Source organism: Homo sapiens, chromosome X (assembly GCF_000001405.40).
Source record: "Homo sapiens chromosome X, GRCh38.p14 Primary Assembly".
Taxonomy (NCBI): domain Eukaryota; kingdom Metazoa; phylum Chordata; class Mammalia; order Primates; family Hominidae; genus Homo; species Homo sapiens.
In genome coordinates this window covers 48,797,159-48,825,013 of record NC_000023.11, presented here as the reverse complement: position 1 = coordinate 48,825,013, position 27,855 = coordinate 48,797,159, and the positions used below count along the sequence as shown (strand labels likewise).

The following is a 27,855-nucleotide window of genomic DNA, read 5'->3' as shown; positions in this document are numbered from 1 at the left end:
TTCTCCACCTGCTCAAAGTCAAAAAGCTTTCTCCAGGTTTTTTAACAGCTTGTACTTTATTACATATGCAACCTTGCCATGCCTGCCAGTTAACTCCCCTCCCGCCAATGTTATCCTCATGATATCAGCTCCCTCTTGGGGCCACTGAGCTGCCCCCCTTTCCTTCTGGGCTGGAGTAGTGGTGCCCCTCAAGCAGGCAATGGGCAGGGGGAGATCCACAATTAATCGTCGCAGTTCTCTTAAAAGTATTAACACTTAAATAAGCACTCTTGGGGAGTTGCAAAGGATATTCAGGATGGGATGCAGTGGGAGGCTACCCCTCATCCAAGGTACAGGCTGGAATGAGCTACAGCTGGTCTATCGTGGGCCTCAGAAGGTGAAGAGGGACCGTATTCTGGGGCTTAGTGTGGGTGGGGCATATCCTCCCCAAACTTGTTCTGGTGGGCGATGTTCTTCACATCTAGGAGAGCCTGAGGAGGAGGCAAGAATAGGGCAGGTGAGAGAGAGTGAGGACCCCTCTACCTCGGCTGCAGGGCTGCCCCCACTCCAGCCCTCAACCACTCTGTCTTCTGGACTATCCCACAGCCCCCGCCCCATGCAAAATAATCACATGAGGCAGCCATGCAGAGGGGCCTGTGGTCTCCCTTTACCCAATCACAGAAGGGGTGTGTGTGTGGGGGGTGAGTGTGCACGTGTCGAAGGGTCTACCCAGGGCCCACCTGGTGGTGGACATAGGCCTGACAGTAGTAACACCAGGCTGACAGGTCGATGTAGCTGAGGACCAGCGGGTGTCCAGAATTTCCATGGTGTTGGAGCATGTGGCCATTGATGTAACGACCACAGTAGACCTGAGGTTGGGGGTGTGAGTGTCAGGTGGGGGTCAGCATCCCCCTGCAGTTTGCTCCCGGGCCAACCTCCGCCCCATCCCCTTCCTCTGCTCCATACCTGATAGCAAGAGAGACACACCCAATTCTCTTGGATTGTTCCACAGTCCCCACAAGGTTGGGTCACGTCTAGGCCTGCTGCAGGTATGGGGCATACTGCCACCAAATGGGGACACCAGGGCAGTGGTGTCACAGCATAAAATATGGCCTGGAGTGGGTGGGTGAAACTAGGTAAGCTGAAGACCCCATCTCCCCATTATATGTTTATTCATCACATGCTCCTACCTGGAGACACAAATTGGCAAGAGAAGGAAGCCACAGTCCCAGCCTCTCCCTGAGCTCACCTGATCAGTGAGGCCCCTAGATCCCTGCATCAGCATCGAATCAGCCATGTCCTGACCTCCAGCTGCCTCTCCTAGTAGGTTCTCCTCTCCTGGGGCCTGAGATTCTGAGGCCCCCTGGACACGCAGAAGTAAGAGATGTATCAGAGAAGCCCGATTCTTGCCCCTTCTTGCCCCTACCTGGGTGTGGTGAGCCTTACCTGAGATTCGCTGCCTAGCTCCAAGGTCCTGAGACTCCCAATCAGTGTACTGGGAGATATCTGGGGTGTAGTTCCCTGCACAGGTGAGGTTGGGGGGGTCTGGTGGTCTGTGCTCGAGGCTAGAGGAGTTTGGATCAGCTCGGTGCCCCCTGGAGCCTCCTCTGACGTAGTCTGGTCCAGTGTGGCTCCCTCCATGGCTGCCTCCGAGGTGGTCTGGGCCAGTGTAGCTCCTCCTACAGCCTCCTCTGAGGTAGTCTGGCCCAGCGTGGCTCCCCCAACAGCATCCTCTGAGGTGGTCTGGTCCAGAATGGCTCCTCCCACAGTCTCCTCTGAGGTGGTCTGGTCCGGAGTGGCTCCCCCGACAGCCTCCTCTGAGGTGGTCTGGCCCAGCATGGCTCCCCCAATGGCTGCCTCAGAAATGGTCTGGGCCAGAGTGGCTCCCCCTGTGGCTGCCTCTGAGGGCTGGTCCTGAGTGAGGGCCACCACAGCTGTCTCTGAGTTAGTCTGGCCTGGAGTGGACTCTTCCCCAAATGATGCCGAGGTGACTTTCCCCATGCCTGCTTCCAGAACCTTCTTTTCTCGTGTGGTCATCCGCTCAGCTAACCTAGGTTTGGCTGGTTGGGGTGCCTTCTTGGTGACCAACTTAGAACTGGAGGGTCCTTCTCTGTCTTCTACCTCTGGAACCAGGGAGGGAGATCCTTGAGTGTGGGTACTGTCACCCTTCCTGCCTCTGATCTCTGCCCCTCAGCCCCCTCCTTCCCTGGGTTCCCCCCATCACCCCCAAATCCACTCACTCATGACCCGTAAGCTGCGCCAGTATCTGCGATGGACTTGGATGGTCTCAGTGATTGAGGCCAGGGCCCCTGATAGTGGGGGCCGTGGCAGGGTCAGCAGGGGTGGTGGGTCTCCAAGGAGGGAGCGAGTGCAGGCAGCCATGGACTCTGAGATGGATGTCAGGTTATAGCCACCCTTTGTTAAGGAAAAGGGGAGGGAAAGGTATGGTGGGGGTTCATTGGGGAATTTGGAGGACAACATGTCCTGCCTCCCCAATCCTCCCTACTGAGCCCTGCAAGTCTGGAGAGGGAGGGGGAGTACTGAGAACAAGTGAACAGAACCCACACCTTTAAGATAGGCAGCACCCACTGTGTAAGGTGGTTGTTGTGGGGAGTAAATTGTGATGTAAAGTGCAAGATAACAATACTGATAAAAGCATTAGTAACAGCTGACATTTATTGTTTGCTGTGTGCCAGACCCGATTTTAAGTACTTCATGCATATTAACTCAATCCTCACAACCACAGGCGCTCAATCTATACAGGAACTTGCCTTCATGCCATACAGAAATCCGTCTTCACACTGTCCAGGAACCCCTGGCCTCACATCATACAGTAACCACTGACCTGACCTGCACAAGACGACTGCTGTGAACCCATACAAAAGCCCCTGCCCTGACCTAGTACAGGAACAACTGGACTCTTTCTCCACATGGACTCCTGTATTGACTTTTTTTACACTCTACAGGAATCCCAGTTGCTATTCTTTTTACAGATAAAGAAACTGAGGCTCAGAGTGGTTAGATGACTTGTCCGAGGTCATAACAGCTGAAGAGGCAGCACTGGGGTTTGAACTTGGGCTCTCTGATGGAGTCATCTGTGTTCTTAACTCCCACCGTGTCCTGTCACAAGCAGTACTGGGCACATAGTAAGTGCGACTTTTTGCAAGCCAATTAATTTCTCAGTGACTTATTTTCCTCATCTGTAAAGTGGTGAAAATAACAGCACAGGCTGGGCGCGGTGGCTCACCCCTATAATCCCAGCACTTTGGGAGGCCGAGGCGGGAAGGTTACCTGAGGTCAGGAGTTTGAGGCCAGCCTGGCCAACATGGTGAAACCCCCGTCTCTACTAAAAATACAAAAATTAGCCAGGCGTGGTGGCATGCGCCTGTAGTCCCAGCTACTCGGGAGGCTGAGGCATGAGAATTGCTTGCTCGAGCCTGGGAGATAGAGGCTGCAGTGAGCCGAGATAGCGCCATTGCACTCCAGCCTGGGTGACACGGCGAGACTCTGTCTCAAAAGGAAAAAAAAAAAAAAAAAAAAAAAGAGGCAGGTATGGTAGCTCATGCCTGTAATCCCAACACTTTGGGAGGCTGAGGCAGGTGGATCACGAGGTCAGGAGTTCAACACCAGCCTGGCCAACATGGTGAAACCCCGTCTCTACTAAAAATACAAAAAAATTAGCTGGGTGTGGTGGCAGGCACCTGTAATCCTAGCTACTCAGGAGGCTGAGGCAGAGAACTGCTTGAACCCAGTGAGCCACAATCGCACCACTGCACTCTAGCCTGGGCGACAGAGCAAGACAACGTCTCAAAAAAAAAAAGAAAAAGAAAAAGAAAATAAGAGCACAGAAGGTTGCTGAGTGGGTTAATATCTGAACAACGCATAACAGTAACCAGGGGCCAGGTGCGGTGGCTCATGCCTGTAATTCCAGCACTCTGGGAGGCTAAGGTGGGTGGATTTCTTGAGGCCAGGAGCTCAAGACCAGCCTGACCAACATGGTGAAACCCCATCTCTACTAAAAATACAAAAATTAGCTGGGCGTGGTGGCGGGTGCCTGTAATCCCAGCGACTCAGGAGGCTGAGGTGGGAGGATCACTTGAAGCCGGGAGGTGGAGGCTGCAGTGAGCTGAGATCATGCCACTGCAGACTAGCCTGGGTGACAGAGCGAGACTCTTGTCTCACAAACAACAACAACAACAACAACAACAAAAAACCAGATCCAAAAGATCCAGCATTTACCATATGCCAGGCATTCCTCCATGATTAGCCTGCCTCATAAAGATGAGGAAACTGAGGCACAGGGCGTGGGGATACTGAGTCATTTACAAAGGTCAGTGAATTTCCTTTGTCCCAGGAACTTGTTAGAGGCAGTTCAGGTAGAGTAAAAAGCACAAACCCTGGAGCCAGGCTGCATGGGTTCAAGTCCTGGTTCTGCCATCAGTAAATGTGCCATCTCAGGCTAGTCATCACACCTCTTTGTGCCTCAGTTTCCCTGATCTTCAGAGAGGAAAATGAGGTAAGCTTACCCTACCTCATAAGGCTGCTTTGCCAAGTAACTGAATGAATAAGACACATGAGGTGCTCAGAAGAGTGCTCTGCACATAGTGAGCACTCAATTAAGGCTGTTAATGTTGCTGTTATTCTTATTACTACCCAGTATGTGCCAACAATCCCAGGCAGGGACACTCAAAGGAGATTTCAGGAAACTGTCCTGAGTGATGGTGCCAACATTTCCAAACTACCCTCCCACTGTGGGAAGAGGGACCAAGAGAAAGTTACCTCTAGGATAAGGATAATGCGGCCACTGGCAAGGCCCATCAGCAGGTGGGTGAGGTGGGCATAACCCTCAGGTGACACCTGGCAGCCCCCCAGCGGATCCCCCCGTGCAGCATCAAAGCCAGCTGAGACCAGCACCAGTTCTGGGTTAAACTGAGGCAGGGAGAGAAGAGATGTATAAGCATGAGGGTAGGGGCTTTTGGTAGGCAGTAAGTGATGGCGACCCAGAGACATGGAGAAAAGGACAAATGAAGACATGGAGATGCAAGTCAGAGAGATGGAGACACAGAACCTGGAGACTAGGAGACACAAAAGCAGAGACTGAAAATGAAGAAGGGAAGAAAAGAAATACAGACTCAGAGGTAGAAGAAATAGATGCAGACTTAGAGACATGGAGATGGCAGAAAGGGACAGATGGGGGCCGGGCATGGTGGCTCAGGCCTGTAATCCCAGCACTTTGGGAGGCCGAGGCGGGCAGATCATGAGGTCAGATTGAGACCATCCTGGCTAACACAGTGAAACCCTGTCTCTACTAAAAATACAAAAAATTAGCCAGACGTGGTGGCGGGAGCCTGTAGTCCCAGCTACGCAGGAGGCTGAGGCAGGAGAATGGCATGAACCCAGGAGGCGGAGCTGGCAGTGAGCCGAGATTGCACCACTGCACTCTAGCCTGGGTGACAGAGCAAGACTCCATTTCAAAAAAAAAAAAAAAGGGACAGATGGGGACATGAGACAGACTGACACGTCAAGAGAGTGACATGAAAAACAGAGAGACAGAGACATGTCCTCACACACACATACCCCAGGGTCAAACGTGGGACACACATACACAAGATACAGGGTTTTATATACATAGTGCCAAAGAGAGGTGCTTGCACACTTCCAAAACAGAAGATGGCAACGCAAGAACCACATACAGAGAAGATGGTCACACAGAGCCACACGTACTGCCACACAGACAGTACCATATAGATCAGTACTATATATCTGCACTAGTCATGTACACACACACAGTTTCTCAAAGAGGACAATAACCCACAGCCATCCTGCACAGTCACATACACATGCCATCACCACACAGCCACAATGGCGACATGCACTCTGGTATGTCCACAAGAGCTGGTTATTTGCACATACAGTTGTACACACACAGAAGGCTGTCCTGGCTACCCATGCACAGTCAGATGCACATGCAGATCCAAAGATGCACACCGGCGCCCAGGGTGACAGAGCGGTGCTCACACCCTTTCCCTCCCTCCCAGAGTCAGCCATACACAAGCCACCAGCCTCCTAGCTCACACAGAGGGAAGGCAGCTACCTCCCAGTCAGAGACATACACACAAACAGCCAGGGCAGACAGCCAGACAGTGACTGCTGTCACACACAGCCTTCCACATCCAGAAGGTCCCACACAGGCTGTCACAGAGATGGTTGCATTTAGTGACATACAGTATCACACCCATCACACAGAGAAAAGGTGAGAAATACCTGCCTGCACAGAGTCGCACACGCACATACTCAAGCACTTGTGATGGCACGCACATACAACACAGATCCAGCCAGGACACGGGCCATTGGTGCATAGTCAGAAGGCCCTCACACACACAGCCAAGACAGTCACTCACACAGTGTCACACAGAGAAGGCAGTCATGTACAGCCATCTGTGCACAAATACACAAGGTGATCACAGCCACCAACTGCCCTGGTAGCCTCATTAAACACCCATGCGCTGTCTCATATCATCAGCCACATGGTAGTCACACACACACATGCCAAGGAGGCAGGTCCAGGCTGCCACCTGCACAGGCGTGTCACATACGTCCTGCGATCTATCCTGAGCTGTACCTCGTAGGCAATGGGAAGCACCAGGCGATGCCAGGCAGCTAGGTAGTCAGCATCACCCATGCGGGGCCCGTTCCATGCCACGTTGACGGTGAAGCCTGTGCCCGCAGCCCGGCCGATCTGGCTGCTGGCACCCTCATCCCCCATGGGGAAGAAGGTGCCATGATCATAGCGGTGCAGGGACACATATAGCACACTGCCAGGGAGGGGGTGGGAAGCGGACCATGGCTGGTTAGGGGCTCCAGTACCCCTGAGGTGCTCACCCGCCTCCCTGATCACACTGCGGCCCCTGACTGCAGCCCTTACCTGGGGTCATCCTCAAACATGTGCTGAGTTCCATTACCGTGGTGGACATCCCAATCCACAATCAGGATCCTGGGGAGGAGACAGCACCTCAGTAACCGACGATACTCACGCCCTGGAAGAGGGCTGGGCTAGACCCCTGGGGTCTGCAGGGGCATTTAGTGCTGAGTGGCAGGACCCTGGGTCCTATCAGTTAAGGAGAAAAGTCTGATCCTGGTTCCCAAGGGCTGCCCGGTAGGCCTGAGCAAGTGCTCGGGGCTGGGCCCTGGGCTCTTCTGGGTCATTGCTAGGGAACTGGACCCTGGGCCTTGGGCAGCTAATGCTGGGGGCTGGTTCGTGGGTCTTCTGGAGTATGCATCAGGAGCCTAGACCTGGGTTCTGTCGAGGCAGCTGCTATAGGCCAGAAATGCTGGGGTGGGACCCTGGATCCTGTTTTGTAAGTGCCCAGGTAACATGATCTGGGGGTCCTATCTAAATAAGCACTGAGAGGCTCCATCCTCGGTCCTTCTCTGGGTAAGGACTGCACCCTTACTTCTTTCTGGGGAAGGAAGTCCTGGGAGCTGGACCATGGGGCATGAGTAAACAATGGGCTGGGGGGAGCATCCAGGTCCCCACAAGGATCAGGATTTGGGGGGTCCCCAGGGAGTCCTTACCGTAGGGCATGCCCACTGATAGTCTGGGCATGGCGAGCAGCCACAGCCACAGAGTTGAAAAAGCAAAAACCGCAAGCTGCATCCTGCTCTGCGTGGTGTCCTGGGGGACGCACCACAGCAGCACCATTCAGAACCTGGGAAGCAGCAGGGTGCTAAGATCGGACAGCCTGCCCTCACCTTCCTTTCTTCCTTTTTTTTTTTTTTTTTTGAGACGGAGTCTCGCTCTGTCGCCCAGGCTGGAATGCAGTGGCGCCATCTCGGCTCACTGCAAGCGCCGCCTGCCAGGTTCCCGCCATTCTCCTGCCTCAGCCTCCTGAGTAGCTAGGACTACAGGCGCTTGCTGCCACGCCCGGCTAATTTTTTGTATGTTTCTTAGTAGAGACGGGGTTTCACCATGTTATCCAGGATGGTCTCGATCTCCTGACCTCGTGATCTGCCCACCTCGGCCTCCCAAAGTGCTGGGATTACAGGTGTGAGCCATCACGCCCGGACCTTTTTTTTTTTTTGACACAGGGTCTCACTCTGTTGCCCAGGCTAGAGTGCAGTGGTGCAATCATGGCTTACTGCAGCCTTGACCTCCTGAGCTCACCTCAGCTTCTCAAAGCGCTAGGATTACAGACGTGAGCCACTGCACTTGGCCACCCTTCCCTTTCTCCAGTTCCTTCCATTATTCCCCCAGCCTCTAGGCCCACCCCCTCCCGTGCCCCTCCCCATGGCCCCTTTCCTCAGGCCCTGCTTGACTCTCTCAGAGCCTCCAGAAACAGCAGATGGCTCTCTTTTTCCATTCCCCCCAGGTCCTCCTCTCCCCAGCCCACAGAGGACACACCTCTCCTGAGAGCACAGCCTCCACCAGGCGGCAGGCAGCGCCAGTGGCAAGCTGTGCACAGGCGAAGGTACTGGGGCAGATATAGATGGAGTCAAAGTTGGAACTCTCACGGTGCAGCTCCCGGGTTTTCATTTTCTCTGTGGCCCGGAGATGACCCACGTACTCAGCACTGGAAGCACAGAGAGGAGCACCCGCAGGACAGTGAGGAGGGTCTGTCCCCTCCCTGGTCCCCACCCCTAAGACAGGGACTTCAGCCCCTCTCAAGTCCTGCAGCAGCTCCCCAGGAGGGGAAACCCAAGTTCCAGCCCCTGAGACCTCATCCACAGTCCTGGGAATCCACCCACCCCAGGCACCGGGGTCTGACCTGTGACAGGTGAGCAGCTCAGCCTCTGTGGCAGGGCGCGGTGTCAGGGTGAGGCAGCGCCCGGCAAGGCCCAGCTCCTCCAGACGGCACATGATCCGCAAGATGCGCTGGGGTACCTCAGGGTGGTGGCTAGCAGTGGGGAAACGAGAGGTAGAGGCTTAGTGCCTGAGGGGGAGGGACCCCCAACACCTACTCATCCAGCCCTCCAAATGCCTACCTGTCCCACAAGTTGCAGTGATTCATCATATTTTGGTCATAGACCAGCCCTGTGCGAGACTGTAGCACTGGCCATGTCAGGATTGGGAGCACAGGGGGCTCCCAGGGTCCTTCCTCCTCGCTCTCCTCTACATTGTCCTCCTCCATGTTGTCCCTCTCCACGGTCTCAGCTAAAAGGGGGAGGCCACGTTTGTCCTACCCTCTCAATCTGAATCCCCGTCATACTCTGGAACTCAGGTGACCCAAACAGAAAAAGGGGTGGGAGGCCTGAAACCAGGGCCCAGGGAGAGAGAGAGGGCCTGACCCTCTCCCACCAAGGCAGCCCAGTAAAGTCAGAGGAAGTCTGAAGACAGTCTCCCCCAGGGCTCATCCCACGTCCACCCCACACCAGGCCCACACCCCACTTCCTACTTGATCTCACAAGAACCTCCCAGAAGGGCTCAAGGGCTTCCAGAGCACAGGAAACTGAAGCCTGGGCACTGCAGGGCAGGGAGAAAATATGATGTCAAGGAATGTGGGCGGGCAGTGAGGCTCCCGCTTTCCCCTCCTCCACCGGGGCTCACCTCCGGCAGGGGGCACCAGGTGACTCCAGCATGGGGCAAGGGTCTCCCAGAAGGGTGTGGAGCGAAGCACTGACGCCTTCAGCCAGGGCGCGGAGGTTGTAGCCACCCTGGGGCAAGGAGTTGTGAAGGGGGATCAGGAAAGGACCAGACATGACCAGGGAATAATAATAATGATGATAATAAGAGAGTGCATACCACATGTCAAGCAACAAGGAACTTAGAAGGGTGCCTCACTGAATTCACTGGACAATGATATGAGGTGATTACATTATGCTCGTTTTATAGAAGGAAAGCGGAGGCACAAAGAAGTGAAGTGACTTATGCAAGGTTGTCCAGCTAGTAAGTGAATTCCTGGGCCAGGAACTCCTGTTGGACTTGAAAGCTTCGTTCTTAAGCCCTCCAGGATCCACAGGCTGAGGGACGAAGGTGAGTCACTCACCTCCAGAGACAGGATCAGCTTGCCTCCTGCCAGACCCATGAGCAGGTGGGTTAGCTGGGCGAACCCTGCCGGAGTGGCGGCCATCTCACCCTGGGGGGACATGGAGGGTCAGCCTGGCTCCATGCAACCCACCTGCCGCCCCAGGGAGCCTGCCTTACCTTGGGGTCCCCTTGCAGGGCATCAAATCCAGCAGCCACCAGGACCAGCTGAGGCTGGAACTGAAGGGGGAACAGACTCCATGAGGCTACCTACCCTCACAGCCTAACCTTCAAGGCCACTCCTCCTCCCAACACACCCCAGATCCCCAGGACCTCGAGGGCGACTGGCAGCAGGACGTGCAGGAAAGCAGCAATGTAGTCAGCATCCCGCATCCCCACCTGCAGACACAGGAGTGTGATGGGGGATGTTCAGCCACCTGTCCCGAGCCGCTGACAGAAGGGCGGGGCTGGGCCTCACTTTGGGGGCAGAGGTGGGTAGATGCTGACCTGGTTCCAAGGCACATTGATGGTATATCCTTGGCCTTGGCCGAAACCTGTGGTGGACCAGTTAGAGGCCTTCAGGTGGGGCCAGAACCTACCCTGCTCGTAGCGGTGGATGGAGAAATAGAGGACACTGGGGGCAGAAGAAAAAGAGGTAAGAGAGTTGGAGAAGTCAATCCCCATAGACACCCCCAACCCAACAGTTGCCAGTTTCCTCTACCACTCATTTCCCCATTCAACCACTCGTTCATTCTCTCATTCATTAATTTCCCCATTAATTATTTAATCCATGAATCCATTCTTCCATTAATTTACCCTTACATTCAGTCACCAATTTAATCATCTTACCATTTTTTCATTCTTATCTTTATTTATCCATTACCTCACTCGCTCATTCATTTAGTCTCTCACCAGAACCTCTCCCTCAGCAAACATCGCTGCCCCCTCAGTGCCCACCCAATTTCAGGCTCAGCTCTAGGGTCTATCTCAGATCATGGGGGCTCCTGACTCTGTGGGGTACTCTAGATCATGTCCGCCCACTACCTGCCCCTATGACAAAGGTAGTAGTAACAGCAGGTCAAACCCTGTGACACTGGAGGCCCAAATGGAGCATGGGGCTCTTAGCTGCGGGGAGCCAGCTAAGGCTGAAAAGAGCCTCAAGCCAGGCTGGGGAGCTGGGTGATTCTCTAGCAGGAAGTGGAGAGACCTGGGGGGTAGGGGTGAGACTTGCTTCTGTGGGTGGAACTAGAGCGGGGGTGCTGGCTGGGGCTGTCATGAGGCCAGTGAAAGGGCAGTTCCTCCTCCCCAATGCCTTACAGGCCACCTCTACTACTTCTTCTATTTTATAGGCGAGAGAATGAGCACTCAGAGGGGTGAGTATGACCGACACGCAAAACAGATACTGAAAAGATGCGATGCACGTGTTTTGACAGAAAGCCCAGCAAGGGGCCATGGGAGGGCTTAATTCTGACTGGGGAAAGCAAAATGAATAATCTATCATCCATCCATCCTTCTATCTGGTCATTTACCCCCTGCTTTGTTCCAGAGAGGATCTAAGGCAGCTTTTTTAGGGAAATGCAAGAAATAGTGGTATGCATTGAATCTAGACAAACTTAAGAGTCACATTTTAATGGGTTGATAATGTAGTTGTGAAATTTAATGCAAGTGATATAGAAAGATTCTTAAAATTGAGGGAAAAGAGCTTGGAATTGGGGAATAAAAACAAGCAAAAGCTCTGGTGTTGAGTAGGTGGAGGATGATTGTTTTATTTTTGACATTGATAGATAAATCTTGGTTCTAAACTTTTAGTAAGTTAATCATTAGAGGAAGAGAAACACAGTAGGACATAAAAATTATCACCAGAGGGCTGGGCGCAGTGGTTCACACCTGTAATCCCAGCACTTTGGGAGGCCAAGGTGGGCGGATCACTAGAGGCCAGAAGTTCGAGACCAGCATGGCCAACATGGCGAAACCCTGTCTCTACTAAAAATACAAAAAATTTGCTGGGCGTGGTGGCGCGTGCCTGTAATCCTAGCTACTTGGGAGGTGGAGGTAGGAGAATTGCTTGAACCCAGGAGGCGGAGGTTGCAGTGAGCCGAGATCGGGCCACTGCACTCCAGCCTGGGCGACAGAGCATGACTCTGTCTCAAAAAAAAAGAAAGGAAAAGAAAAAAATATCATTGGGGAAGACAGGAAGAAAGAAAAGATCTGAAGAAAGCTGACTCTAAAAGAGAGCCATCAAAGTCAATAAACAGCAGAACTAGCACTCAAGCTAAGTTTAAAAAGAAAACAGAAGGGAAATTCAAAATAAGTTCAACCACCTTCAAGTTAAATGGTGGATTGATAGCACAGGTTTACTTCCTCAACCTCCTACTACCCCATTCAAAATACAGTAAAGAAATTGTAAACAAACAGCAACCCAGAAAGAGAGAGTGGAAAGGATGTCAGAGAATAAGAGACTTCAATGAATTTCTAGAAAGTAGACTTTGAGATTCCAGGGGCCCCAGGGTGCTCTGTCTCATGCTGAGCAGGATAAGGGGGCACCCAAGATAAGCTGAAGTTTCCTTTCTGGAGAAATCCAGTACAGATCCAGGTCAATGCACACAAAATCCCTTCTGAAGAGCCAACTCACTGAATCACCAATACAACAAAGTTACTTGTTTCTTTTAACTACTTAGTTTTAGATCATCTGCTTTCCTTGTCTTCACAACAGTATTTTAAGGATTATCCAGTTTGTCTCCCTGCTGCTGGAGTTCAGAGACTGAGAGATGGGGAGCTGGGAGATCCAAGGGCATGGACATGTTCTTTTTGTTTGTTTGTTTACACACGTTTGTTAATAAGGAAGAATGCACTGAATATATTCACAGTGTTTCACATCTGTGTGTGTAATCAATAGTGTACCCATGAAAGAACACACAGCTATAGCCTCCTATGCATTTATTCAAACAAAAAGAATGATTAATGATATTAAAGAATTCTTTGAATGACAGACCCTTGGCAGATTAAAAAAATAATTATTGTTAATTTTCAGGTATTGATACTAAGGTAATGCTTTTCTAAAAAAGTGTACTTATGTTTTAGAGATGCATTCTGAAATATTTACAGGAGAAATTATATGGTATCTGGGATTAGCTTTGAAGGAAAACAGGAAGAGGGCAGTGGGTACAGGTATAGATGAAATGAGATCGGCCAATGAGTTGATAAATGTTGAAGCATTAAATTCCAGAAGCCAGAAATGAACAAAATAAAGAACGTCGGAGGAAAACATTAATAAAGATAAAACCAGAAAAATTAATGAAGTATTAAAAACCCACCATAATAAAACAGTAGAGATGACCAACAAAGCCCAAAGCTACACTGGAAAAGATAAGTACAACAGATACACTTTGGAAAGGCTGAGGGAAAAAAGAGATGTTACCCCAAAGAAGAGGCCTCCTTTGTTCTGACATCTGGCAGGATCCCATCTAATGCCCGGGTCCTTGCCCACACTCGCTAAAGTTGCAACCTGTCAGTGGACATTCCCTGTCCCCATTCTGGGGAAATGCCTTTCAGGAAAACAGACCTACAAACACTGCAGCAGAGTAGTCCTCTGACAGCCCCCTACAATGGGCCTTCATTCTTGGGTATAAATAGCCAAATAAGGATTGCTAGACATTTGAGGAAAACCATCAGCATAAAAGAGAAGGACCAAGAAAAAAATAATTCAACCAGCCTCAGAATAAAGAGACATAACTCAGACAACAGAAGAAACTTAAGGCACTTCCTTTTTTGAGACAGGGTCTCCCTCTATCGCCCAGGCTGGAGTGCAGTGGCATGATCTTGTCTCACTGCAACCTCCGCCTCCTGGGTTCAAGCGATTCTCCTGCCTCAGCCTCCTGAGTAGCTGGGATTACAGGTGCGCACCATCACGTCTGGGTAATTTTTGTATTTTTAGTAGAGATGGGGTTTCACCATGTTGGCCAGACTGGTCTCGAACTCCTGGCCTCAAGTGATCCACTCACCTCGGCCTCCCAAAGTGCTGGGATTACAGGCATGAGCCACCGCACCCAGCCGGCACTTCTAATCCATACTCTATAAAAACAAGATCAGGTATGAGAGGACATAGAAACAGAGAGGAAGAAAGAGCTTTTGGAGTTTAACAGGATATCTAAATACATAATTCAACAGAAGGGCTTGAAGATAAAGTTGACAAAATCTCCCAGGTCACAGCAAAAGAAAAAAGAGACAGAAAACATAAGATAAAAAATAAGAAGCCTGGGCAACATGGTGAGACCCCATCTCTACAAAAGATTAAAAAATTAGCTGGGTATGCTGGTGTGCACCTGTGGTCCCAGCTACTCAGGAGGCTGAGGCATGAGGATTGCTTGAGCCCGGGAGGTCGAGGCTGCAGTGAGTCGTATTTGTGCCACTGTACTCCAGTCTGGGCAACAGAGCAAGACCTTGTCTCAAAAAAAATAAATAAATAAATAAATAAATAAATAATAAAAAAGAGAGAGACATAGAGGATCAACCCAGGAAGTCTAACATCTGACTAACAGAAGTCCTAGAAAGAGAACAGAGAAAACAAAGAAGAAATTATCAAAGATCTAATAGAAAATAATTTCCAAGAGTTTAAGAAAAGCATGAATCTTCAGATGTAAAATGTCTACCTACTATTAAACAGAGTGAAAAGGCCAGGGTAAAAGTTTAGAACATCAAGGCTAGGTACAGTGGCTCATGCCTGTAATCTCAGTGCTTTGAGAGGCTGCAGTGGGAGGACACTTGAGGTCAGGAGTTCGAGACCAGTCTGGGCAATATAGTGAGACCCTGTCTCTACAAATAATTTAAAAAATTAGCTGGGTGTGGTGGCACATGCCTGCAGTCCTAGCTACTTGGGAGGCTGAGGCAGGAGGATTGCTTGAGCCCAGGAGTTTGAGGTTACAGTGGGCTATGATCATGCTACTATACTCCAGCCTGGGTGACAGAGTGATACCCTGTCTAATAATTTAAAAAAAAAAAAAAAAGAACACCAAGATAACCTTGCAGAGAGGAAAGTAGATTACTTGGAAAGGAATGAAAAGCAGACACCTGTCAGGAACACTGAATGCTGCAAAATAATAAAGCAATGTCTAGAGAACAACCAACCTAAATTGGATTCTTCAGATCTTGGATAAGTGGATTCTCTGTAGTCAGCTAGGAAGAAGGCTAGATAAAACTACTACAGGTTGAGCATCCCTAATCTAGAAATCTGAAATCTGAAATGCTGTAAAATCCTAAACTTTTTTTTTTTTTTTAGATGGGGTCTCAGTCTATCACCCAGGCTGGAGTGCAGTGGTGCGATCTCAGCTCACTGCAACCTCTGCCTCCTGGGTTCAAGTGATTCTCCTGCCTCAGCCTCCTGAGTAGCTGGAAATACAGGTGTGTGCCACCACGCCTGGCTAATTTTTCTGTATTTTTGTAGAGACGGGGTTTCACCATGTTGGCCAAGCTGATCTTGAACTCCTGACCTCAGGTGATCCGCCTCGGCCTCCCAAAGTACTGGGATTACAGGAGTGAGCTACTTCACCCGGCCCTAAAATCCTAAACTTTTTGAAGGCCAACATGATGCTCAAAGGAAATGCTCATTGGGGTATTTCGGATTTTGGGTTTTCAGATTAAGGATGCTCAACCACTAAGTATAATATAAATATTTCAAAATCTGAAAAAATCTGAAATGTGAAATACTTCTGGTTCCAAGCACTTCATATAAGGGATACTCGACATGTACTTAGTAATGTCTCCTACTGACAAGGACTTGCTCAATCACTTTCTGCAGGAAGGGTAAGCTGGTCCCCTCCTGGAGGGAAGTCTGGCAGTGTATACCAGACTTTAAAGTATGCTGACTCTCTGGCCCAAGCAACCCACTGTTAGAAATTCATCCTACAGATAGACTCAGAGAAGTGCAGAATTACATATTTACTAGACTATTCACAGTAGAAGTGCCTGTAATAGCAAAAACTGGCAGGCATCTTAAAAGTCCTGGGGTTAAATAACCAGAGGTACAGTCATAAAATTGAATACTACAAAGAACGAGATACTTTAAGAGGTACTAACATGGAGAAATGTCCCAGATATGCTGTTAAATGAATAAAGCAAGTTGTCGAAGAACATGTGGAGAATTATTCCATTAGGCAGTGTGTTATTAATAATTATAACAATAATAATAAAAATTCAGACATCTATAGAGAAAATCTGTAAGGATATAACCTAAACTGTCAACACTTATTTTTGAGGTAATGGAAATTAGAGGAGACTCACTGCTTCAGACACTTCTGTATTATTTAATTTCTTTAAACAAATAGTTTGTTATTTATTTATTTATATTTGTTTTTTACTATCTACTGAAAGGATAAACAAACACTTTGAAGCATTATCCTAATCAGAAAAAATAAAGCAGTAATTTGAGGTTCACTCTAACCCAACGGTTAATCAGTGAATAAGATCTTCAAATATTTGTGGGTCAAATCCCGTCTCTCCCAGTTCTTCTCTGTGTGACCTCTTAACGTATAAGCCTCAGTCCCCCTATCTGTAAAATAGGGAACCCAACAGTCCCTGCCTCAGAGTGAAATTAGGAGAGATGGCAGACACACAAAAGTAGCACAGATCCTGATCCCAGGATAGGCCCCATGAATGTGAATGCCTTTTCCTCCTTCTGGACCCCTTCTGGCTGGGCCTGTAAGGGTGGGAGGTGGCTGGGAGTCTAGCACCTAGGTGGGAGTCGGGGTATACCTGGGGTCCTGGTCGAAGGTGAACTGTGTTCCTTGACCGTGGTGCACATCCCAATCTACGATAAGGACCCTAGGAGCAGCAGAGAGAGGGGACTCTGTGCAAGGAGATCAAGGTGAATCTGGGGGAAGAGCCCAGACCAGGACACCCCACCCCATGCCACCCCCATCACATCTGCCCTCTGTTGCTGACCTCCGGATGCGGTGTTTCTGTTGAGCATAGCGGGCTGCCACAGCCACGTGGTTGAACATGCAATAGCCATCCATAAGACTGTGCTGGGCGTGATGTCCAGGAGGCCTGGGCAAGACAAGGAAATAACAGCTTGGAGTATGTGAGGGGTCCTCCTCTGCAGAGACAGACTGTCCCCTGCTCTCTAATCCTGGACCACCAATTCCTTTAATGCTGATGCCTAAAAATCTGCCGGGAACTGAGTAATGGAGGCCCTCAAACTCTCACCCCCTGCCAATCTACCCCTCTGTCTCCAAAGGAGATTTGAAAATGTTCACTAAAATGATAAAGGCCGGGTGCGGTGGCTCAGGCCTGTAATCCCAGCACTTTGGGAGGCCGAGGTGGGTGGACCACGAGGTCAAGAGATCAAGACCATCCTGGCCAACACGGTGAAACCCCGTCTCTACTAAAAATACAAAAAATTAGCTGGGTGTGGTGGCGGGCGACTGTAGTCCCAGCTACTTGGGAGGCTGAGGCAGGAGAATCACTTGAACCTGGGAGGCAGAGGTTGCAGTGAGCCAAGATTGCATCACTGCACTCCAGCCTGGTGACAGAGCGAGACTCCGTCTCAAAATAAATAAATAAATAAAAATAAAAATAAAATGATCAACGCATTCATTCTCATACCCAGTCATTCTGCTGCAGGAACTTAGCCCACAACCTGTGTTTTAAAAAGGGTGAAGTAACATTTTTATTTTATGTTAGTGTAAAATAAAATTTTATTTTTATAAAGGTACTAGCATATTTGCTGTAGCATTTTTTTAAAACAGCAAATGACTGGGGAGAACCAAAATGCCCATTAGTCGGGGACTGATTAACATAGAGTGCATTTACACAATGGTGTTCTACCGGGCTCCAAGATACATACTGTTAGAGAAAGGTTTCCAAGATGTGTAAGTGAAAAGATGGTACGAAGGGAGTATGTCATGTTACTACCATTTGTGGTTAAAAACAGGGGAGGGAGGAGAAAGCTTTTGCATTTCATCAGTTCTGGGATGCCAATGATGATAAGATGTACCATGATTTTACATGCCAAAAACGAAGCAGAAAATACTGCCAATGGAATTCTGAGATGTCACTGTTTGTAAGATGCATCTGGATTTCAAGATGTTACAAATATGAAAAAATGTACACCTTAGAATCAATGAAATATGGTATTTATTTCTTGAATAAGACTTTGTGGGAGGACACATGAGTCAGTGGTTCCAATGACTACCTCCCATGAGAGGAGGCAGGTGTCTGGGTGACAAGGATGGGAGACAGATTTTTAATTATATTCTCTTTTTTACCTTTGGATTCTTGAATCACATGAATATATTACCCATATCAATACATTTTACACTTGAAGGAAGGACTTTAAAACAATGTAAAAAGTCAAATGCTGTAGAGTCCTACCTAATGATGGCCATGCCATTCCGGATCTCAGCCCCCAGGACCGCATCCACCAGCCTGAGGACAGAGCCTGAGGCCAGGCAGGCACAGGAGTATGAGTTCTGGAGAGACAGTGGGGAGCCAGAAAGGGAGTAAGGGAGAGAACAGCCCTATCCACTCAGCTGCTTCCCCCAGGGTGGGGTGGGCATAGGGATGGGGACCCCAAGATTGCCACCATTCCCTGCCCGCAGAGTTCTCATCCATACCGGATGCAGATAAACTGAGTCGTAGGTGTCTGCTAGGACACGGAGTTCTCCCTCATTCATGTACTGGGTTGTTTCCATCAGATCAATATATTCTAGGCTAGACACAGATGGGAGATGAGATTCAGGGCCCTGTCTCTTCCCCAACTGAGCTGTCCATACACCAACCCCCTGGTCAAATTAGGGCTTGGCTCCCCCAACTGTCAACCTGAAGGAATAGCCAGGATATAAGACACATTCTGTTTCTTCCCTAGCCCGCCTCAGTTCAGGTAATGTTCTCTGCTCCCCTGCAGTAGCCACACCAAATCCTACTTTCAGGCCTTTGGCCACACTGGTTCAGCTGTCTGTTCTTCCCTTCCCTCAGTCACCCTCTTCATCTGACTCACTCTTTTTCTCCTCTTAAAGTTCAGCTCAGATACCTGCTCTGGAAGCTAGCTTTCCTCAAGCCACATAGCACTAGGCCTCTAAATCTGGAAGCCCCTGGGGGAACCCCGATCACTCTGTCCACACATCCACCATCTATTCACACAATCAGATCATGATAACAGTAATAGCTCATCATGGGCTGATTATATATCAGGCCCTGTTCTAAGCACCTGACACACATCAAACTCTCCTGAGGAACTTATGTTTACTGGTCCCCTTGTTACAGGCGATGACACAGATTCAGAAAGGCTCAGCGACTTGCCCAAGGCTGGCTGCAGAGACCATGACATTGCTTCCCAAAGCGTTTAGCTTGCCCTGGTTTGTCCAGGGCAGGCTCCTCCCCATCCCTACAAGGCTCCCAAGCCTTCACCTGTGAACCAACATCAGCTCTTCCTTTTCAGCAAACCGGGCCTGGGGAGAGATGAGGAATAAAGTGGGGTAAAGGGTTAAGGCATGGGCTGCACCCAGGTCAGGTCAGCTCCCTGCCCTTCACCCAGAGTGTTGGCTTGGGGGCCTTACCTGAAAGGACACGCAGCGATCTAGGAGGCCCTCCTGGATCAGTTGCTCCTTGATGGCATGGAGCCGCTCAGGGCCTTCCGGGAAGCTGGGGAGATGGAGTCACAGTCACAGATGCATGAGGACACTGGGGAGCTCCACATCTGTTCTCTCCACATCTCCCCATCCACCCTTCCACAGCTGCTTACCCCAAAACTGTGGTGTCAGTCCTGCCTCCCATCAGCTCTGGTGTGTGACCCTCTCCTCACCACTGCCACTGCTATTACCATACCCTCCCGCCTGGGCTGTGGCGGCATCTCCTCGGCCTCCCTGCTTCGACCCTCGCCACCTCAACGGTCCTTTCTGTGCATAGCAGCTAGACACTGGTTAAAACCCTAATCAGTTCATGTCCCTTCGAGGCTCCCATCCCATTCTGAGTAAAAGCCAAAGTATTACCCATGCCCAGAAGGCCCTAAACAATCTGTCCTCCATCACCTCTCTGACCCCATCTCCTACCCCTCCCTCTTTCCTTTGCTTCGCTTCACCTACACTGGTCTCTTCCCTGGTTCTCAGTTGAACCAAATACTCTTCAGCCAGCCCTAGAACTTTACTCTAGCTGGCCCCCCCACCCCCGCCTAGAATACTCTTCCTCCAACTGTCTCCATGACTTACTCCTTCACCTCTTCAGATCCCTGCTCAAATAGTGAGGCCTTCCCTGACCAGCCTATTTAAAATTGAAGTCTCCTCCACTGTACTTTCTCCTACTATCCTCCCTTTACTGCTTCTTCATAACACTGCTCTTTCTACCACAGTGCATCATTTACTTTTTGTTTATTTATTGTCTGTCTTCCCCCTTTACCCTGAAGACACAGGCTTTTGTTTGTTTTGTTTACTGCTGTATCCCTAGCTCCTCAATAGATGGTAAATAGGTATTCCATAAAAGAAGTCTTTTTCCCATAGTAAGTTAGTCTTAGGTTGGGATAAGGGATATAGATATTAATTGGTAAACACACAAGTATGATAATTAGCAAACAATGTCATGGGCTAGGAAAATAAGATCAGGTATTGGGGTAGGGTTTGGCCAGGCAAAACCTTCTCTGAGAAAGTCTCATTGGGATGTGAAAGGCAGCTGGAAGAGTAGAAGACCGAAAAGAATCTCTGGGAAAGGGGTTGGTCAGGGTACAGACCAGAGGCAAGAGGGTGCCTGGCATGTTGGAAGAACAAGGGGAGTAGTGTGGGCGAGAAGGATTGGCTGATGAGGTCACAAAGTGATGTGGAGCCAGATCATGTGGAACCTTTGAGGCCAGGATGAAAAATTTGGACTTTACCTTGAGGGCAACAGTTTGCCCTTAAAGTACTTTTTTTTTTTTTATTTTTACTTTTTGAGACAGAGTTTTGCTCTTGTTGCCCAGGCTGGGGTGCAATGGCACAATCTCGGCTCACTGCAACCTCCGCCTCCCAGATCAAGCGATTCTCCTGCCTCAGCCTCCCAAGTAGCTAGGATTACAGGTGTGTGCCACCACGCCCAACTAATTTTTGTATTTTTAGTAGAGACAGTGTTTCATCGCGTTGGTCAGACCGGTCTCGAACTCCTGACCTCAAGTGATCCACCTGCCTTGGCCCCCCCAAAGTGCTGGGATTATAGGCGTGAGCCACCATGCCTGGCCTCCTTAAAGTATTTTAACAAAGACATCAACTCATACATATTTTTTTAGGTTGCTGCATGAACAGATAATAGAGGTGAGGTTGGAAGTAGGGGACCAGGGAGGAGGCCTCTGCAAGTCTAGGTGAGTGATGATGATGGTGGCAGTGGAGGTGGTGAGGAGAGGTCAGATGGTGAATATATTTTGAACATATAGCCAAAAGGATTTGCTGATTCTTTTTGAAAAGTAAAGCAAACGGGAGGTTTCATCCTTCTGTTTCAGTACAAACGTCTCTTCCTCTATAAAGGCTTCTGGGAAGCCCGGATACTAGTTTAGGATCCTCTATTATACACCCTTGAATCCCCTGGTCTTAAGTCTGTCTTCATTAAACACCTCATACTGCTGTTGGCTGTTTAATGATCTGCCCTCCTACTCATCAATCCGCTCCTAGAGAAGGACCCCTGTCTGTTGTTTGGTACATTTGTATCACCAACTCTTGGCACACAATAGGCACTCAATAAATGTTTGTTAGCTACATAAAAGAACCCTTTCAAGTGTGAGCCCTACCTCCCCAAATCATCTGCTTCCAGTATCCAGGCTGGGGTAAGAAAAGATTTATTCTTGCTAATGGGCTCTAAGTGTGTGTATTTTTGTGGTTTGGAGACAGCCTGGAGGACCCAGCCTCACCTGTCATCCCAGAGGCAATGGAATTCATTTAACTGCTCATCCAACACCAAGCCAGTGCCAGCCAGTGCTTCAGCCTCAAGGTTCAGATCCTGCAGAGGAAAAAAAAAAGGAGACACAGATCCATTTTAGGCCCTGAGTCAGAGGGAACTGTCCAGGGTGGGGAACCTTTGGGTTTTGATTGTCATACGAGGCTAAACTGCAGCCAGGCCCTGCTCACCATCCCTTGCAGTCCCACGATTAGGTCTTCTTCCATTGCTTGGCCGAGCTTCTTCATTTTGCCTTTCTTCTTTACCTCCGCTAGATTGGGGATAGAGCGGGGAACGGCTCCCTTTTTAATATTTCGCTTCTGTGAATCAGAGAGAAGGGTCAGAGTCCAGGGCATGACCAACTTGCTCCCTCTCCCCCTCATCAGGGCGGGTCTAGGGCCTCACCGAAGTGACACTGGAGTCCTGAGGGGGCGACTGGGGGTTCTGCCTACTTCTTCGCTGCCTGGTTGTGGTGGAATCCTGGCCGGTTGAGGTCATAGTTGAGGAGGCTTGGCCCCTGCCGCGGTTCTGGGGGTGGGGGGAGGAGCGTGGGTATGTGAGGGGGCTAGTGTGCCCTGAGGACCCCACCTCTCTGCCCTTTTCCAGGCTCCGCCCCCTCTATTAGATTCCATTCCTTACGCGATCTGATTCTCCACAGCCTTCCAAACTCCGCCTCTCTCAGGCCTTCTCCCTCCACTCAGGTGGCCATTCTACCCGGCCCCGCCCGGCCCGCTAGACTCCACCCCTTTTACACGATTCTCTTTCCCTGGTCTTGCCCTTTCACGGAGCAATGAGCCCCCGGGCTCACACAGTCCGTCTTAGGGCCTGCCCTTTCCAACCAATCACCGCCCCTTCTACTCTCCTAAGCCCCATTCCCAGACCCTCTAAGCCCAGCCCAGACCCCATTCCTTCACGAACCTGCCCTTTCGGCCTATCTCCCGGGATAATCACCCACCCTTTCACTCAGCCGGCCCCGGCCCCGACCCCGGTTTCGACTCCACCCTTAACGATTCACTTAACTCCACCCCTTATCGGGCCGGACCGGTACCTTCCACTCCGCCAGATCCCGCCCCTAGCGTTTCAACCAGCCCCGCTCCTCAGGGGACTGCCCCGTTCCTTCAACCAGCTCCACCCCCTGCCCAGACCCGACCGCTAACGTTTCGCTAACCCTCTTCAGCCAGTCCCTAGCCGCCTTCGGTCGGCCTCCGCCCCCTTCCCGCCTCCGCCGTCGACGCGCTGTACTCACCGCTCCACTCATTGGACGCAGCCCCTTTCTCAAACTCCGCCCTTGGCTCGCTCCACCAAGTTTCTGGCGACCTGTGGGGACGCGAGCGCTCAGGCTTTTCTTTTCCATTGGGCCTCGTCTCTCGACTGCCCGCCCAGATCCCGCCTCCAGAGGGGACCGTGCCTCAAGGCCGCGCCCCTCGCGCGAGCCACACCTCTCGCGAGCTCACAAGCGGCGGGGCGGTGCGTCGGCGTGCTACGCCAGCTGGGCTGAGCCACACCGCGAGCTCACAGGCGACGGGGCGGTGCGTCGGCGTGCTACGCCAGCTGTGCTGCGCCTACGTAAAAGGCAGGCGCCGGCGGTTCCCGACAGGGCTGCGGTGCAAGCTTTTTCTTGCCTCGGCTATCGTCGCTGTCGTCCCGGATGCCATAGCCGCCGCCCCTCCGTCCCTGTCCAGTCACTTAGGAGCCCTTCGGGTCGGCGGTGTCTGGAGAGCAAGCAAGGAAGCGAGGGAATTAGGAAGGGGCATCTTACCTTTTCCCCGCGACTTCCCGCGCGACGCGCCGTGATGACGTAGCGCGGGCGGGCTGGTTGTGGCTGGGCCGAGAGCGAGGTTGCCACTGGACGTTGGTGGTGGCGGCCAAAATAGGCGTGGTGACGATGCTAAATGTGAGGATTTTCCGAGTTAATATTCACTATGGTGGTACACAGGAAACACTGGCCGAATATTAGCTATTAATATTCTGCCGCAATATTCTGAGTGGAAGGAGTCTTAGTGGGGGCAGGGAATGGTAATGATAGCAAGTATTATGTGACAGGCATCGTTGTAAACCACAATTCTATGAGGTAGTTCCCATTATTAAGGCTGCTTTGCAGATAAGGAAACTGAGGTTACGGGACTTAACCATGTGACTTTGGGCAAGTTGCTGAACAGTTCTGTGCTCCGTTTCCTCATCTGGAAAGTTGTGATAATAATAGTGCCCAGGGCCAGAATGGCCTTGAGGATGGGAGTTCTCATGGGCAGCAGCTCTCCCTATCTGCCCCCTCCAACGGGTAACCACTGCTCCCAAGCAGTAATAGAAAGTGTGTGTGCGTCTGGGGAGCTGTCCCTAGGCACCCCCTCTCCCCCGCAACTCCCACTCCATGTCTAAATGTCAGCTCTGCAGGAGGCCGGTTTGTCCTCCTAATCTCCCTGTCTCATTCTCCACCATTTCCTACCGGGCTATAAGCTGGGACCGGAGAGATAAGCAGTCCGGGGGTTCTGCATCAGACTGACAGATTGACGGTCTCACCGCCCAGTAGCTTTGCCCTCTGATCCTCTTGAAGATGTCCTGCCGCCTCTTCCCTCTCACCCCTCCTACGTGAACCTATCTTTTGTCTCAGCGCAAAAGAGTTGCAGACCTAAGACCTTTAAACCCCTACACTCACCAAAGAAAACACATACAATGATAACACACTACAAAAAAATTCTAGAGTTCTGATACCTGCAGCCTGATAGAGTAGGGAGTCTTGCAAAGGGTCAAGGCCCATTTTTCTGTTGGATCAGAAGAGAGGTTTCTGAAGAGCAGGGGTCAGCAAACTTTATAAAGGGACAGAGAGTAAACATCTTAGGCTTTGCAGGCCACATACGGTCTCAGTGGCATTTTTCTTTTTTTCTCTTTTTAAAAAACAACCCTTTAAAAATGTAAAACAGCCCACAGTCTGGCTTTGGCTTGAATGCCATAGTTTGCCGATCTGTGCTGTAGTGTCAGGCCTTGGTCTCTATCTGGCTGGTATTCTTTTGCAGGATTGAGGGTAGGGGCCTTTTTTCCTAAGGAGAGGTATTCCTTTTGTGTGAGGTGTGTGAGGACAGGGATTCATGGGCAGGGTCAGGTCACTTCTAGTGTACCTCTGGTGGGTCATTCCAAATGTTCCTGGACAGAATGAGGACAGGGATTCCTATGGTTTCTATATTGTACCTTTACTGAATCAAGCAGGGGTTTCTAGAGAGCTCCAGACTATGGGTTCCTGTTCCTGTGCAAGTTAAGGATTAAGGTTTTGTTTTTTTGTTTTTTTGTTTTTGTTTTTTGATACAGGGGACAGGGTCTCACTCTGTTGCCTAGGCTGGAGTGCAGTGGTGTGAACACGGCTCACTGCTGCTTCAACCTCTTGGGCTCAAGCTGTCTTCCTACCTCAGCCTCCCAAGTAGCTGGGACTACAAGTGCATGCCACCATGCCTGCCTAATTTTTTTTTCTTTATAGAGATGGGGTCTCGCCATGTTGCCCAAGCTGGTCTCAAACTCCTGGACTCAAGCAATCTGCCTGCTTCAGCTTCCCAAAGTGCTGGGATTACAGGTGTGAGCCACCATTCGTGGCCAGGATGGGGCTTCTTAGACCTATGTTATGACAGCTTCCTACAAAGAGATCAGGTGGGCCAGTACTGGGTCACAGGTGTTTCTGTATAGGTTCAGAGCTTGTGTTCATATAGACAGTGAGATCAGGTGTCTAGATTTCGGTCAAGAGATTATTATTGGCCAGGCAGAATGGCTCACACTTGTAATCCCAGCACTTTGGGAGGCAGAGGAGGGCAGATTGCTTGAGCTCAGGAGTTTGAGACCAGCTGGGCAACATTACAAAACCCCATCTCAATAAAAAACACAAAAATTAGCTGGGTGTGGTGGTGTGCATCTGTAGTCCCAGCTACTCGGGAGGCTGAGGTGTGAGGATCGCTTGAGCCTGGGAGGGGAGGCAGAGGTTGCAGTGAGCCGAGATTGTGCCACTGTACTCCATCCTGGGTAATAGAGTGAGATCCTGTCTCAAAAAAAAAAAAAAAAAATTACTGGCCAGGCGTGGTGGCTCACGCCTGTAATCTCAGCACTTTGGGAGGCCTAGGTGGGCAGATAATTTGAGGTCAGGAATTTGAGACCAGCTTGGCCAACATGGTGAAATCCCATCTTTACCAAAACTACAAAAATTAGCCGGGCTAATACACCTGTAATCCCAGCTACTCAGGAGGCTGAGGCAGGAGAATCTGGGAGGCGGAGGTTGCAGTGAACCAAGATTGCACCACTGCACTCCAGCCTGGGCGACTCCATCTCAAAAAAAAAAAAAAAAAAAAAAAAGGAGAGAGAGAGAGGGGGAGAGATTATTATTAATTAGGCTAAATTATCCTAGCTGCTGTAACCCAGAATTTCAGGGGCTTAACGAATAAATGTTTATTTCTTGCTCATTCAAAAGCCAATCTGAATATTTACTACTGTTCATTCATGGACCCAGGCAAACTCTATTTTGTGACTCTGTCCTCCTCTAGGTCCTTGGAGTTAGTTGGTTTTCAGTTGGTAGACAGGGAAAGAGAGGAAATGGAGGATTGCATGAGAGATTTTTATGGGTCAGGCCTGGAACTGGTATATGTCACTTTTGCCCATACTCCATTGGTCAGAACTCTGTCATGTGCCCACATCTATCTGCAGAGGAGGCTGGAATAGGTAGAGTGAGCTCAGGAAGAACAGGAACAGGTCTCAATGAGCTTATAGCAGTGTCTGCTATAGGGTTCCGTAGACTCCACAGACCTATGCTGTCCTATATGGTAGCTACCAGCCACGTGTGGCTACTGCTCTTGAAATGTGGCCAGTCTAACTTGAGATGATGTGCTATAAATGTGAAATGTACACCAGATCACAAAACTCAGTATAAAAAGTTTAAAATAGCTCAGTAATTTTTATATTGATTACATGTTAAAATAATATTTGAATATATTGGGTAAAGTTAAGTATATTGATGTTATTGAAAATAATTTTATCTTTTTTTTCTCTTTTTAATGTGGCTACATTGAAAATATAAAATTACCCGTGTGACTCACATATTTCTATTGGACAGCACTGCTATAGAAATTTCTCTTTAAAGCATTGAGACAGGGACTCTTACTGTGTAGGGGTAGGAGCATCTCTGGGTCAGGTTAGTGTTTCCTGTCTGGGGTCAGGAGAATGATTCTGTTACCTGGTAAGGCAGGTTTGCAGGGAAATACAAAGGTTGGAGACATTGTAAAGTGAGAGGGAAAACTGTGAAGGCATTTTTTCCCATACAGATTAAGGTTAGGTGTTCCTTTTGAGGCCAGGAGAGTGGTTTTCTGTAGACGGCCAGGCCAGAGGATCACAGCGTACTCAGGCCAGGTATTTCTGTCCAGGATCAGAGCTGTGTTACTAGAGACAGACAGATCAGGTGATTCCATTGGGGGTTAGGTCAGGGGTTCCTGTACAGTCTCCAGGCAGGTATTCATGGTGATTCTGATTATGGGTTGTTTAACAAGTACAGAACAGAGGTTCTTGTACAGTGTAGAGGTTTTTTATACTGGTTCATTCTTTGGATTACTCTAAAGAGGCAAATCAAAGGTTCCTGTTGAGTGTAAGGGCAGGATTTTCTGTGCTAGCTCAGGGCACAGGTTCCTGCTGGGGGTAATAGAGGTTCCTGTGCGGGTTCAGGACAAAGATCCTCTGTGTAGTTAGGACACTGCCCCTTCAGAGATTCAGGTCGGTGTTTCTTTGTTGGGTCAGGGCAGTGGTTCCTGTACAGGGTGCAGGTGGGGCTTCTGGGACAAGGCCAGGGAAAAGGCTGTTATAGAGAATCACATTAAGCTTCCTGTTCAGGGTAAGCAGTGTATTTCCAGAGAGTAAAGCTAGGAGTTCCTATAAAGATCAGAGATTCCTGTAAATTACAGAGATTCCTGTAAATAAATTACTGTAAAAGTAAAGGATTTCTGTTGAGGTTCAGGACAAAGGCTTTCTGCAGAGACCAGTCAGAAGTCCTGGAACAGTTTTAGGGTCAGGCTTCC

General features: G+C 49.8%; 1 protein-coding gene across 17 annotated transcripts, besides 8 other annotated features; it reads right to left on the bottom strand.

The window, feature by feature from the left end:
* Positions 32–23,616, bottom strand: HDAC6 (histone deacetylase 6). Of its 17 annotated transcripts, none has more exons than XM_047441704.1 (30): positions 23,263–23,616; positions 23,070–23,140; positions 22,229–22,351; positions 22,015–22,143; positions 21,798–21,886; positions 19,492–19,576; positions 19,343–19,383; positions 18,550–18,646; positions 18,308–18,405; positions 16,877–16,981; positions 16,688–16,756; positions 10,448–10,574; positions 10,274–10,339; positions 10,121–10,180; positions 9,963–10,052; positions 9,524–9,630; positions 9,372–9,439; positions 8,962–9,130; positions 8,745–8,873; positions 8,381–8,549; positions 7,555–7,688; positions 6,905–6,973; positions 6,602–6,794; positions 4,759–4,908; positions 2,220–2,394; positions 1,426–2,102; positions 1,229–1,342; positions 946–1,092; positions 720–848; positions 32–470 (listed from the first exon to the last, which is right to left on the bottom strand). In XM_047441704.1, exons 2-30 carry the CDS (start codon positions 23,079–23,081, stop codon positions 402–404), a joined length of 3,690 nt encoding a protein of 1,229 aa, XP_047297660.1. In that variant the 5' UTR covers positions 23,082–23,140; positions 23,263–23,616; the 3' UTR covers positions 32–401. The 17 variants fall into 17 exon arrangements, 13 of the variants coding, with proteins under 13 accessions (XP_047297660.1, XP_047297659.1, NP_001308158.1 ...); NM_001321225.2 differs by having other exon boundaries at positions 38–470; positions 23,583–23,616; XM_047441703.1 differs by having other exon boundaries at positions 23,070–23,616.
* Positions 22,296–22,375: an enhancer, noted in NCBI's record as "active region_29613". NCBI's record gives its function as "activates an Ori minimal core promoter by ATAC-STARR-seq in GM12878 lymphoblastoid cells {active_cell/tissue: GM12878}" and the evidence as "EXISTENCE:reporter gene assay evidence [ECO:0000049][PMID:35858748]".
* Positions 23,006–23,519: an enhancer, noted in NCBI's record as "H3K27ac hESC enhancer chrX:48659902-48660415 (GRCh37/hg19 assembly coordinates)". NCBI's record gives its function as "activates a minimal SCP1, AML or CMV promoter by ChIP-STARR-seq in primed H9 embryonic stem cells {active_cell/tissue: H9 hESC(primed)}" and the evidence as "EXISTENCE:reporter gene assay evidence [ECO:0000049][PMID:30033119]".
* Positions 23,006–23,635: a biological region, named in NCBI's record as "H3K27ac hESC enhancer GRCh37_chrX:48659902-48660415".
* Positions 23,366–23,635: an enhancer, noted in NCBI's record as "active region_29612". NCBI's record gives its function as "activates an Ori minimal core promoter by ATAC-STARR-seq in GM12878 lymphoblastoid cells {active_cell/tissue: GM12878}" and the evidence as "EXISTENCE:reporter gene assay evidence [ECO:0000049][PMID:35858748]".
* Positions 23,757–24,588: an enhancer, noted in NCBI's record as "fragment used in the e-HDAC6 reporter construct". NCBI's record gives its function as "activates a MYC promoter by reporter assays in K562 erythroleukemia cells {active_cell/tissue: K562}" and the evidence as "EXISTENCE:reporter gene assay evidence [ECO:0000049][PMID:27708057]".
* Positions 23,757–24,596: a biological region, named in NCBI's record as "CRISPRi-validated e-HDAC6 enhancer". NCBI's record gives its function as "regulatory_interactions: GATA1 | HDAC6 | PLP2".
* Positions 24,096–24,596: a transcriptional cis regulatory region, noted in NCBI's record as "intergenic|chrX:48658825-48659325 region (GRCh37/hg19 assembly coordinates) targeted for CRISPR interference". NCBI's record gives its function as "positively regulates GATA1, HDAC6 and PLP2 gene expression in K562 cells {active_cell/tissue: K562}" and the evidence as "EXISTENCE:mutant phenotype evidence [ECO:0000015][PMID:31784727]".
* Positions 24,347–24,393: a transcriptional cis regulatory region, noted in NCBI's record as "e-HDAC6 or chrX:48659028-48659074 region (GRCh37/hg19 assembly coordinates) targeted for CRISPR interference". NCBI's record gives its function as "positively regulates GATA1 and HDAC6 gene expression in K562 erythroleukemia cells {active_cell/tissue: K562}" and the evidence as "EXISTENCE:manual assertion [ECO:0000218][PMID:33828297]" and "EXISTENCE:mutant phenotype evidence [ECO:0000015][PMID:27708057]".

Excerpts from the sequence above, each read along its gene's own strand:
- HDAC6 (XM_047441703.1), bottom strand. The coding sequence starts at position 23,177 with ATGGAAAAGAAAAGCCTGAGCGCTCGCGTCCCCACAGGTCGCCAGAAA. Across the intron at positions 22,144-22,228 it reads AGGACTCCAGTGTCACTTCG|AAGCGAAATATTAAAAAGGG; the intron begins GTGAGGCCCTAG and ends TCTGATTCACAG. Across the intron at positions 2,395-4,758 it reads GCATTATCCTTATCCTAGAG|GGTGGCTATAACCTGACATC; the intron begins GTAACTTTCTCT and ends TCCTTAACAAAG.